We start from the raw sequence: 13024 nt of genomic DNA, 5'->3' as shown, positions 1-13024 counted from the left end.
GAGAGAGGAGGGGACAGAGAGGTGTCCTGGGCCTGACCCCGCCCACGAGCTTGAGAAATGCTCCTGCCCCGGGAGGAGGCTCAGCACAGAAGGAGGAAGGACAGCACAGCTGACAGCCGTACTCAGGAAGCTTCTGGATCCTAGGCTTATCTCCACAGAGGAGAACACACAAGCAGCAGAGACCATGGGGCCCCTCTCAGCCCCTCCCTGCACACAGCGCATCACCTGGAAGGGGGTCCTGCTCACAGGTGAGGAGAGAACTTCCTGGGAGAGGACAGGAGGAGGAAGCAGAGTGACTGGATGGGGTCTCCTGGAGAGGATGGGGTTCTGAAAAATGAAAGAAGCCAGCACTTTGGGAGGCTGAGTTGGGTGGATCAGGAGATCAGGAGTTCAAGATCAGTCTGGCCAACACTGTGAAGCCCTGTCTCTACTAAAAACACAAAAAATTAACCAGGTATAGTGGTGTGCTCCTGTAATCATAGCTACTCAGGAGGCTGTGGCAGGAGAATCACGTGCACCCACGAGGCAGAAGTTGCAGCTAGCCAAGATAGCACTACTGCACACCAGCCTGGGTGACAGGACGAGACTCCGTCTCAAAAAAAAAAAAAAGAAAAAAGGAAAAAAAGAAAAAAGAAGAAAAGGGAAAGAAGGCTCTGTTGGAGCCTGGATAGGGGAAAATACACCAGAGGGTCAAAATAGGAAAGTCACATTGAAGCGGAATTGGTAAGTGGTAGGAAAATCTTAAGTGTTCTGTTTTCCTGATTAATCATCAGGGGCCACCATATTTTGAAAAATGATAACAATAACTATATCAGATGACACTTCAAATGAAAATATAAGCAGGACATGAAACACTGTCCTCAGCAAGAAACCTCAACAATTGGGGGGAAAAAGAAACATCCAGAGGGTGGAGACCCTGAGAACTCTCACATCTACAGGAGTCTGCCGCCTGTTCCAGGTACTGGGGTGCAACCAAGATCACAAAAGTCCCTGTCCTCACGGAGCTCACACAGTCATCGTGGGGGGAAGACAGACATGCTAAGTGATCTAGAATGTGAGATCAGGTGTTGACAAGAACCCTGGAGGGAGGAGAGCAGGGAAAGGTCAGAAAGGGAAGACCCAGGGTCTCTGAAGGAGGTATCAGGAAAGAAGTCTAAGGATGCCCTGATGTGAGCAGGACCTGAGGGCAGTGTGGAGGGGGCCGTGCGGACCCCTGGGGAAGAGGAATCCAAAAAGAAAAATGCCAAGGTCAGAAGTGTTGAAGGAATGGGGGTCATGCTGCTGATCTTGACCTAGTGGGACAGTAGGACACACACACATACACTCACGCCCCTTTAGTGTGTGTATGTGTTTGTATGTGTGTGTTTGTGTGTCTTCAAGGCTGAGGATTGAAGAGACCTTCTCAGGACCCATCTTTTCACCCCAATACATAGGTCTCAATATTAACTGATGCTCTCTGTACCTCCTAGCATCACTTTTAAACTTCTGGAATCCGCCCACAACTGCCCAAGTCACGATTGAAGCCCAGCCACCCAAAGTTTCTGAGGGGAAGGATGTTCTTCTACTTGTCCACAATTTGCCCCAGAATCTTGCTGGCTACATTTGGTACAAAGGGCAAATGACATACCTCTACCATTACATTACATCATATGTAGTAGACGGTCAAAGAATTATATATGGGCCTGCATACAGTGGAAGAGAAAGAGTATATTCCAATGCATCCCTGCTGATCCAGAATGTCACGCAGGAGGATGCAGGATCCTACACCTTACACATCATAAAGCGACGCGATGGGACTGGAGGAGTAACTGGACATTTCACCTTCACCTTACACCGTGAGTGATTCCACATGATCCCTGGGTGTTGGGGGACAGGGGTCACTTCTACTTCACACACACAGGATTCTCAGGCCTGGACTCTGCCTGTGTCCCTCTCTGCATTAAGTCCCATGCTGGGGTTTGGGCATTTAGTGCAGGACACACAGAGGAGACAAATTTCAACAGATCAGAATTCCTTTCCCGCATTCAGACCCTGCAGACACTCGCTGCAGAGGAAGGACAGTCTGATGGGGGGACTCAGCAGGAGGAGATCAGTCTCAGACAAGCACCTCATGCCCTCTTCATAAATTTGACGCTGACAAAGACCCTGGAGAACTGAGTAGGGCTGGCCTGAGGGGCCCCCTGAGATACTCTCAGAGCAGCTCAGCCCTAGAAGCCTCAACCCCAGACCTCTGTCCCTAAATCCTTGCTCCAGATAAAGCTGAGGAGCCTGTGCCAGTGCTGGGTTGTTCCTTCTTGGGCAGGCCTTACTGGGACCAAGAATTTACCAGCTGTCAGAGGACTGTGTCTCCTGGAGCTGTTCACCAGCCAGGGCTCAGCCCTCAGAGCCTCATCTGGGCAAGGACAGAGCTTTCTTCACCTGACACTCAGAGTGGAGAGGATAGAAAGACAAGCTTTGTAGGACATCGGCTTAGGAGAGTCCATAGAAAGTCTAATGTCCCCAGAAGCAGAAACAGAAGGAGAAGATGTACCTGGTAGCAGATTGTCCACAGGGATCTGATGTAAAGGTGTTTTCTCATGGAAGCAAATTAATAATAAATGCTGTTTGTGTGAAACCTCCACTGTGCCAAGCATTAGGTCAGGTGACTGTGAATCATTTAACATTTATTCACAGATAGCATGAAAAGCCACAGTCCATTTGCCATTTAGCTTATTTGATTGAGAGAAAACTGAGGCACAGGAAGGCACAGTCACTGAACCAGAGTCACACCAACACAAAGGGGAGATCGGGGTCACATGAGGTCTGTCTGCAGCCACAGGCCCTTCCTCTCCTCCACCAGAAGTGAGGGCTTACTGGGTTCCAAGCACCCCATAGTCATTTATTGGCTCAAATCCTCTCTTTTTAGGCATCCAAACCTCAGAGGAGTGAGAGCAAATGGTCAGCTGATTAGTCTGCACTCCAGAACTAAATCACCTGCCTCAACCATCAGAGTCAGTGCAAAAAATATGTCCAGGCCTCCCCCTCAGATCTTAACCCCCATCACTGAACTTGAAATCCTGTGTTTCCCAAAGTGCCCATGTCACTGTCATGAGAAGATCAAGGAGAGGACCTTGTTTTCTTTCCCCACTCACACCCTGCACCAGCACAGGCCCAGCGAGAGACACACACTCAGGAGCTCTCACATAACAAATGAAGGAATGGAATGAAGAAATGAATGATCCAAAACCTCTTTAGAGACTGGATGTTGGATGCAGAATCATAGGAGGTTCTAGCCACACCTGTCCCTTGTCCTTCAGAGGCTGACACCCACGTTTCATCCCCCCACTACCTCTTGCCCCTAAAGCCACCCCACCTCATGTAACTCTGAAGCTCTTTGGCCACCAGAGGGTTCTCTGGGCTCCTTGGTCCTGGACTGTGGAACTGGGGCACCTGGTCCCTGGGGTCTCTGAAGTCAGTGTAACCCTCACTGCTCACTGCCATGGTGTCTCTGCCTCTCTCTTCTTCTCTGTGTCCCTCATCTTCCTCCCACTTCATTCTGACTGGCAAGCCCTGTCCTGCACAGCTTCTTCCCCCACCCCTAGGCCTTCCCCAGACACTCCCTCTGACTAGTCTGGCTGTTCAGTTCCTTTCCCGCTAACACTGTGGCCTGGCCCACCTCCCAGGAAATAGGAAAGGTGCAGAAATCACCTGGAGTTGCCACTCCTGCCAGGCTTCATCTCGAGCCAATGTCCCCAGGTCACTAAGAGAATGAGCTTCTACTGTATTCCCTTCAAGGGCTCTTTCCCTTTGTGAGGCTGACCTGTGGACAAGACAATGGGACAGGGATAGGCAGTTCCTCCATCCACTCATAATTGCCAGACAAGTTCTTCTGGCCTTCTGCACACACACACACACACACACAAAATTATTGAAATGTTGGTTTCTAGTCAAGAAAGATTTTAACGACTCCAAGTCTGCCAAACAGGAGGCTGGAGGTTGATTAGTACTCAAATCAGCCTCCCCAGTGGAGCAGGGGTTAGAGATTTTCAAGGACAGTTTCAGGGTCACAGGACTAAAAATTGAGTACTGCTCATTTTTTGGTGATTGTTTGGTGATGGAATCATGCGGGCGGAGGGAAATGATCTGTTTGTGCTTGAATCTGCCTCTAGGTAGGGACCACATGACTGGCTGAGCCATTAGTCATAGGTATGAATGAGGTCAGCCGGTTGCCAGAATGCAAAAGAATGAGAAACATCTCAAAAGACCAGTCTCGCGTTCTACAATAGTGATGTTATCTATAGGAGCAATTAGTTACAAATTTTGTAAACTCTTGCCAAATGACACTGGAGCAGTCAGGGATTACATAAACTGTGCCTACATTTTAGCAGAATTCGGTTCCCTCCTATAATCTTAATCTCATGGTCTTTCACTAGTTTGACAAAGGCCGTCCCTGGGCAAAGTAAGGGTGTTAGTTTTATGGAGGAACTATTATCATTCCTGCTTCAAAGTCAAACCATAAACTAAATTCCTCCCAAGGTTAGCCTGGCCTATGCCCAGGAACGAGTGAGGACAGCCAGCCTGAGACTAGATGCCAGATGGACTCAGACATGCTAGTTTGCTGTCACTGCTGTAATCTTTGCACTGACTCACCAGGGTGTCAGAGGCTGGACAGGCCTGCAGTCCCCAAAGCACATGGACTCATTTCTCCTGTATCACTTGGGACTCCATCCTCAACCTGCTATGCAGCTCACATTCTCCTGTCACTTCCTAGAGACTTCTGGCTTCCTGTCAGGCATATAACAAGCTTAAAATTTGTGACTCCGTTCTAACACTAAGTAAAAAGTCAACAACTCATTAAAATCCCTCAGAGAAGGCTGTGCTCAGTGGCTCACGCCTATAATCCCAGGACTTTGGGAGGCCGAGGCAGGCACAAGGTCAGGAGATGGAGACCATCCTGGCTAACATGGTGAAACCCCGTCTCTACTAAAAATACAAAAAATTAGCCGGGCTTGGTGGCGGATGCCTGTAGTCCCAGCTACTTGGGAGGCTGAGGCAGGAGAATGGCATGAACCCAGGAGGTGGAGCTTGCAGTGAGCTGAGATCATGCCACTGCACTCCAGCCTGGGCAACAGAGCGAGACTCTGTCTCAGAAAAAAAATGCTGTTAGAGAAATGAAGAATGCTTTTGATGCTTACTGGTAGACTGCACACAGCTGAGGAAGGAACCCCCAGCTTGAGGATGTGTCAATAGAAACTTCCAAAACTGAAACAGGAAAGTTCAAAAAGGGTGGGGAAAAAAAAGTGGAACAACATATTCGCCTTCATATTTAATATTTTTTTTGACAATAGCAATTTTTAAATTTTGTAGTTGTGGGACAACTACAAAGGCTGTAACATACACATAATGGGAATACTGGTGGTGTTGCGGACCAGTTGGAGGTGACCAGGTGGGTGCTATCTGATGGTTTTACTGCCTGTGCCACATACAACTGTTTCCTCATGATGATGCCATTTTCATAAGTTGGATTTCTTCACGTGGGCAGACACACGAGCCATTGGCATCTCACTTAGACTCTTCCTATTTCACACAAACTTAAACTTTAGTGGTATTTCCTGAGCTTAACAGAAAATGAAGAAAGCATTCCACATACCTGTTTTGGGGTCCTCCCCATTTTTCCTAACTCTGCACAGAAATTAGAAGCAGGGAGTTCTTTCTATATTTACTAACATAACACACATCACTTCTTTTAATTTGGCATCCTTCCTCCCTTTATGTAATTGACGCACTGACCAGTTCTGTCCTTTTAATGGGACTCTCTCTACTTAAGGAGCTGCTAATTTCCAATCACCTTTGGCATCTTTCTTTGAGCATAATGTGATCCTGCTGGAATTCACGGCACACCTAAACCTTATTTTGGTCTCAAGAGAAATACTACTACCAGCAATTGATCTTCGATGTCTGGATCATCAGTAAAAGTTTCCACTTATGAAAACATTTTAATGTTTCCTCCAAATTTTTTTTTGTTACTAGAGTCAGAACACAACATGAGGTCTAAATTCCTGACAACTTTTTACGGGAAAATTACAGTATTACAAATTGAGCATCCCAAATCCAGAAATCCACAATCTGAAATGCTCAAAACTCAACCCTTCTGACCACTGATGTGATGCTAAAAAGAAGTGCTCACTGGCGCATTGTGGATTTTAAATTTTTCAGATTTGGGATGCTAAACCAGTACATGTACTGCAAATATTCCAAAATAAAAAAATTAGAAATCGAAAACACTTTGTTTTAACCTTTCTGCATAAGGAGCACTTTATCTGTATGAACTATAGGCATGAAGCTGTACAGGAGATCTCTAGAACCTCCTCATCCTGCATAACTGAAAATGCACAACCATGGAACAACACCCTATTCCCCTGATCCCAACTCCTGCAAACTACTATTCTACTCTCTGATTCACTCTGGAATCCACTTATATGAGGTACATAGAGTAGTCAAACTCAGAATCAGAGAGTAGAATGTCTAATGAGAGAAAGTATCTGCAAGACTTCTTCCCAAATATTGGTCTAATATCCACCAAACGCATATGGTCCATGAGGGCCAGACTTCCATCATCTGTTCATGTTCGCCCTTTCCACCAGTCAGTTCTGCATTTGCAAACATCCACATGTATTTCTAGAAAGATCCACATGGTCCTCACCTGCCCTCTACAGGGGGAAGCGAGCATCATGGACCCAGAACACGGAACATGGTCTTGGTCCAAAGCTATCAGCTCTTGCCTGTCCCCTTCACTCTTTGTAGGTCATTCCTTGGACTCTGCTCTATCTTTAGAGGTCACTGGCTCAAGTCAGTCACCATGAGACACCTGGGAAAACTGCGCCACCTTGTGGCTCCACTGCCTGATGACTGAACTGACCTCCAGGCTTGACTCTGGTCTCCCCTGTGTTATTTATGCTGAAGTACCCAGTCCCAGGTCAGGCTTTCCAGTACCCAAAGGGTTTAAGGACAATGGGAAGTTCCATCATCCATCTCTAGGATGTCCTTGGAAAGGGAAGCTGCAGAGAAAACATACCTCGGGGGGCAAAGTAAGACTGAAACTAAGAAGATTCCAGCACTGCATGCTCCAAGTGAGGACCACAAGGTGGGTCAGGCAGGCAGTTGGAGACGGAGGAACTCAGAGAGGCATCGGGTCTGTGACTGCTGGTCCTGTGTCTTTCCATGACCCAATGCTGCTGCTCAATTCACACCTAAGAAAGTCTGTGCTTCTCCCACATAAAGCAGGCAGCCTCACAATCTCTGAGCTCTCAGATTGCCATGCATCTGTCTTTAACACACACATCTTCCATGGGCTTTTAAGGACTTGGGTGGGCTGAGAGGTGGGAAATGCCAACTCTGATTGAAAAATGCCTTTGGAAGAATCAAAGATGCCACACAGGGCAAACCTCTCTCTGTTTTCTGCACAGTGGAGACTCCCAAGCCCTCCATCTCCAGCAGCAACTTAAATCCCAGGGAGGCCATGGAGGCTGTGATCTTAACCTGTGATCCTGCGACTCCAGCCGCAAGCTACCAGTGGTGGATGAATGGTCAGAGCCTCCCTATGACTCACAGGTTGCAGCTGTCCAAAACCAACAGGACCCTCTTTATATTTGGTGTCACAAAGTATATTGCAGGACCCTATGAATGTGAAATACGGAACCCAGTGAGTGCCAGCCGCAGTGACCCAGTCACCCTGAATCTCCTCCGTGAGTATCCTCTGTTCCTCTGTGAGCCAGGCTGCCATCCCAAATACACATGGCCAGAGGCCAGGCCTCTCAGTCCCTCTCAGGTCCAAGTACAGAGACCTTTACCCCTAGACATCAAAGCTGGCCATGACTTTCTGCCCCAGGCAAACCAGAGTAGGCCTAGGCTTGATCCACAATAGGAGAAAAGAGGCTGCTCCTGTCATGGGAGACTCAGGTTCCACAGCTTGTGATGGGAGAAACAGGTGAAGGTCTCAGGCTCCAGATCAGTGAACACAGCGGGGATTTGGCTGGGACTTCAGTGTTGCGACTTGGCTCACAGGGTCACTGTGGCCCTTCCACAGACCAGGATTTTCCCTTCCCTCTGACAATGTCACCTGTGACTTTATTCTCTTTGCTCCAGATGGCCTGGATGCCCCCACCATTTCTTCCTCATACACCTATTACCATACAGGGGAATTCCCCAATCTCTCCTGCCTCACAGACTCTCACCCACTGGCAGAGCATTCTTGGCTGATTGATGGGAAGTTCCAGCAATCAGCACAAGTGTGCTTTATCCCCCAAATCACTAAAACATATAGAGGGGTTTAGGTCTGTTTCATCCATAACTCAGCCACTGATGGAACAAATCTCATAATCAAGAGGATCATAGTGCCTGGTAAGTGGATCCCTGGAGCATTGGCAATATGTTTTCCAGTGAAGTCTATCTAGCTATCAGGGAAAAGCCACCTGCCCTCTGCAAAGGGAGAGGGAAAATCAAAAACCCAGCACAGGGAATATGTTTCTGCTCCAAAACCACCAGCTTTTGCCTGTCCCCTTCACTCTTTCTAGGTCATTCTTTAGACTATACACTAACAATGAACAATCTGAAAGGAAATTAAGGAAATAATTTCAATTCACATTAACATCAAAAGGAATAAAATATTTTGGAGTAAGTTTAATCAAAAAGGTCAAATGATTATATCCTGAAAACTACAAAACATTGCTGAAAGAAATTAAAGACGATATCAATATATGGAAAGACATTTCATTTTCATGGATTGGAAGAATCAATATTGTTAGAAAGACAATACTACCCAAAGTTAGTTGCAGATTCAATGCAACCCCTACCAGAATCCCAGTAACATTTTTTTGCAGAATTATAAAACTCTGTCCTAAATCTGACCTGACAGGCTCTTATTAATGACTGCCACAACAGAAACACTGAGAAAAAGAGGCAACCATGAAAACGTGGAAAGTTCTGACGACAGAAAATAGCAATCAGCCTTTCTCACATCCCAAAGCTTTAAAAAATATATGAGTGCAGCATGGCCAGTATGGAATTGACCAAAAACTAATCATCAAGCTAGAAACGTGGTGAGAGAAAAAAAAAGGGCAAGAATATCTTTGGCTTATCACCTCCCACTTTTGCCTACTAATCTGATGCTGAAAAGAAATGCTCACTGAAGCATTTTAGATTTTGAATCTTTCAGATTTGGGATGCTAAACCAGTAAGCATATGACAAATATTTCAGAATAAAAAAATGTCAGAAATCCAAAACACTTTTTGTTCTAAGTCTTATGCATAATACTCAATCTGTGTGAATTATAGGCATCAAGCTCTACAGCAGATCTCCAGAACCTCCCCACCTTGCATAACTGAAACTGCACACCCATGAACAACTTCTGATTCTCCCCACTCCCAGCTCCTGGCAAACAGCAGTCTCTTCTCATATTCACTCTGGAATCCACTTACATGAGGTCCCTAGAGTAGTCGAACCCAGGGAATCAGAGAGTAGAATGTCCAATGAAAGAAAATATTTGCAAAACTTCTCTCCAAATTTGTCTCATATCCATCAAACACACATGGTCCATGAGGACCAGATTTCCAGCAGTTCATTCCCACACTTTCCACCAGTCAGTTCTGCTTTTGCAAATGTCCATATGTATTTCTGGAAAGATCCACATGGTCCTCACCTGCCCTCTGCAGAAGGAGAGGAAACTTAAAGAACCCAGGACAGGGAACATGGTTCTGCTCCAAAGCCACCAGCTCTTGCCTGTCCCCTTGACTCCTTCTAGATCATTCCTTGCACTCTGCTCTATCTTTAGAGGTCACTGGTTCAAGTAAGTCATCATGAAACACCTGCAAAACACTGCCCCACTTTCTGCCTCCACTGGCTGATGACTGAACTGACCTCCAGGCTTGACTCTGGTCTCTCCTGTGTTATTTCTGCTGAAACATCCAGTCCCAGGCCAGACTGCTCAGTATCTTCAGGGTTTCAGGACAATGGGAAGTCCCATTATTACTCATCTCTAGAATGTCCTTGAAATGGAAGCTGCAGAGAAATCTCATCTAGGGGGGCAAAGGAGGATGGAATTTGGAAGGGGCCCAGTAGTTGCACATTCCAGGTAAGGAACCCAAGGTGAGCCAGCAAGTTAACTGATTAGGGAGGGACTGGGAGGGGTACAAGGGGCTGTGACTCCCACTGATATGTCTGTCCATGACCCAACACTGCTGCTCAATTGACACTTGAGAAAGTCTGTGCCTCCCTAAAACAGAGCAGGTGGCCTCACAGTCTTTGAGCCCTTAGATCATCATGCATCTATCTTGTGACAGAAGCACCAGCTATTGGCTTTCAAGGACTCGGGTGGGCTGAGAGGTGGGAGATGCCAACTCTGATTGAAGTATGCCTGTGGAGGAATCAAAGGTGCCACACAGGACAATCTTCTCTCTGTTATCCACACAGCAAAGCTGTCCAAGCCCTACATCACAATCAACAACTTAAACCCCAGAGAGAATAAGGATGTCTTAACCTTCACCTGTGAACCTAAGAGTAAGAACTACACCTACATTTGGTGGCTAAATGGTCAGAGCCTCCCTGTCAGTCCCAGGGTAAAGCGACCCATTGAAAACAGGATCCTCATTCTACCCAATGTCACGAGAAATGAAACAGGACCTTATCAATGTGAAATACGGGACCGATATGGTGGCATCCGCAGTGACCCAGTCACCCTGAATGTCCTCTGTGAGTATCTTTTGTTCCTCTGTGGGCCAGGACACCAGCTTAAATCCAAACCACCAGAGGCCAGGTCTCTCAGTCTCTCTCCAGTCCAAGTATAGACACCTTTACTTCTGGACATCCGAGGTGGCCATGACTCCCTGCCCTGGGAAAACCTAGGTAGGCACAGCCTTAACCAAGAATATAAGGGGAGGGGACGCTCTTGTCATGGGAGACTTGGGGCCTAAAACTTGTGATGGGAGAAACAGGTGAATACCTCAGGCTTCGGCTCAGTGAACATAGAGGGAGTTTGGCTGGGACTTGAAGGTGTGTCTTGGCTTAGAGGGTAACTGTGTCCCTTTAAGAGACCAGGAACATCCCCTTCCCTCGGATGACATCACCTATGGCTTTATTCTCTTTGCGCCAGATGGTCCAGACCTCCCCAGCATTTACCCTTCATTCACCTATTACCGTTCAGGAGAAAACCTCTACTTGTCCTGCTTCGCCGAGTCTAACCCACGGGCACAATATTCTTGGACAATTAATGGGAAGTTTCAGCTATCAGGACAAAAGCTCTCTATCCCCCAAATAACTACAAAGCATAGTGGGCTCTATGCTTGCTCTGTTCGTAACTCAGCCACTGGCAAGGAAAGCTCCAAATCCATCACAGTCAAAGTCTCTGGTAAGTGGATCCCAGCATCCTTGGCAATAGGGATTTAGGTGGAGTCTATCTGGCATTCAGGGAAGAGTGAGGAAAACATTTTTATTCCCAGCCTGTGTCCCATGGGCACAAGCAAATCCCAAATTCTACTCCTGAACACTCCCAATTTGTCTAAGAACTTCCAAAACTTTAACAAACAGGCTGATATCTTCTTAAAATTCCCAGCCTAGACCAAGCAGGAGAAACATTGATTTCATTGAAATAATTGACAATATTGAGGATAATATTTTTATGATTTTTATTTGAAAATTTGCTGATTCTTTAAATGGTTTGTTTTCTAGATTTATGGAATTTTTTTCTTTTAATCTATCTATAGCTTGTAGCAGTTCAATAAACTATACTTCTGGGAACCGTAATTGAAACATTTACTTTTGCTCTCTACCTGACTGCCCCAGAATTGGGCAACTATTCATGAGTATTGATATGTTTATGGTAATACACATATTTGCACAAGTACAGTAACAATCTGCTCTCTTTGTAACAGGACACATTTCAAATCATTGGTTATATTACCAAGGCTTTGACTGGGATGTTATATTCAAGAATATAGATAGAATGAACCAATATGAACTGCAGGCAAAGTCTGAAGTCAGCCTTGGTTTGGCTTCCTATTCTCAAGGGTTTTGTAAAAGTTTAATCTGAGAGTCCTTATAAAAACTTAGAGCAAATAAAATTCTAAAAGAGCGCCTACATGGTCTATTGCTACTCTTGCTGCACTTATGTAAAGAATCAGACCACGTTTGAAGAAACTCAACCTATTTTGCAAACAAACTTATTCTACTGAAATTATCATTGGTAAAACTAGAGATGCCCATAGAGAGAAAAATTATGTGGAAAATAAAAACTGTAGTACACCGGTTATGAGATTGCAGCTCTGTTCATTGTTTCTGTGTTTTTATTATCCACCTGTAGACTGGATATTACCCTGAATTCTACTAGTTCCTCCAATTCCATTTTCTCCCATGGAATCACGAAGAGCAAGACCCACTCTGTTCCAGAAGCCCTATAAGCTGGAGGTGGACAACTCGATGTAAATTTCATGGGAAAACCCTTGTACCTGACATGTGAGCCACTCAGAACTCACCAAAATGTTCGACACCATAACAACAGCTACTCAAACTGTAAACCAGGATAACAAGTTGATGACTTCACACTGTGGACAGTTTTTCCAAAGATGTCAGAACAAGACTCCCCATCATGATAAGGCTCCCACCCCTCTTAACCGTCCTTGCTCATGCCTGCCTCTTTCACTTGGCAGGATAATGCAGTCATTAGAATTTCACATGTAGTAGCTTCTGAGGGTAACAACAGAGTGTCAGATATGTCATCTCAACCTCAAACTTTTACGTAACATCTCAGGGGAAATGTGGCTCTCTCCATCTTGCATACAGGGCTCCCAATAGAAATGAACACAGAGATATTGCCTGTGTGTTTGCAGAGAAGATGGTTTCTATAAAGAGTAGGAAAGCTGAAATTATAGTAGAGTCTCCTTTAAATGCACATTGTGTGGATGGCTCTCACCATTTCCTAAGAGATACAGTGTAAAACGTGACAGTAATACTGATTCTAGCAGAATAAAACATGTACCACATTTGCTAATACTG

General features: G+C 45.8%; 1 protein-coding gene across 8 annotated transcripts; it reads left to right on the top strand.

Annotated features, from left to right (window-relative positions):
- Positions 1 to 82: 82 nt before the first annotated feature.
- On the top strand, positions 83 to 13019 carry PSG4 (pregnancy specific beta-1-glycoprotein 4). Of its 8 annotated transcripts, XM_047439103.1 has the most exons (7): positions 83 to 248; positions 774 to 958; positions 1470 to 1835; positions 7446 to 7724; positions 10448 to 10726; positions 11127 to 11381; positions 12333 to 13019. In XM_047439103.1, exons 2-7 carry the CDS (start codon positions 847 to 849, stop codon positions 12347 to 12349), a joined length of 1308 nt encoding a protein of 435 aa, XP_047295059.1. In that variant the 5' UTR covers positions 83 to 248; positions 774 to 846; the 3' UTR covers positions 12350 to 13019. The 8 variants fall into 8 exon arrangements, with proteins under 8 accessions (XP_047295059.1, NP_002771.2, XP_047295061.1 ...); NM_002780.5 differs by lacking the exon at positions 774 to 958; XM_047439105.1 differs by lacking the exon at positions 7446 to 7724.
- The last annotated feature ends 5 nt before the right edge of the window (positions 13020 to 13024 follow it).

This window comes from Homo sapiens, chromosome 19 (assembly GCF_000001405.40).
Source record: "Homo sapiens chromosome 19, GRCh38.p14 Primary Assembly".
Classification (NCBI taxonomy): Eukaryota; Metazoa; Chordata; class Mammalia; order Primates; family Hominidae; genus Homo; species Homo sapiens.
This window is presented reverse-complemented; position numbering and strand designations above follow the sequence as displayed.

Bases quoted from the DNA above. Each gene is read 5' to 3' on its own strand.
- PSG4 (XM_047439103.1), top strand. From the start codon at position 847: ATGAAACACTGTCCTCAGCAAGAAACCTCAACAATTGGGGGGAAAAAG. The intron at 959-1,469 runs GTACTGGGGTGC...TGTACCTCCTAG, and splicing joins GAGTCTGCCGCCTGTTCCAG to CATCACTTTTAAACTTCTGG. The intron at 10,727-11,126 runs GTGAGTATCTTT...TCTTTGCGCCAG, and splicing joins AGTCACCCTGAATGTCCTCT to ATGGTCCAGACCTCCCCAGC.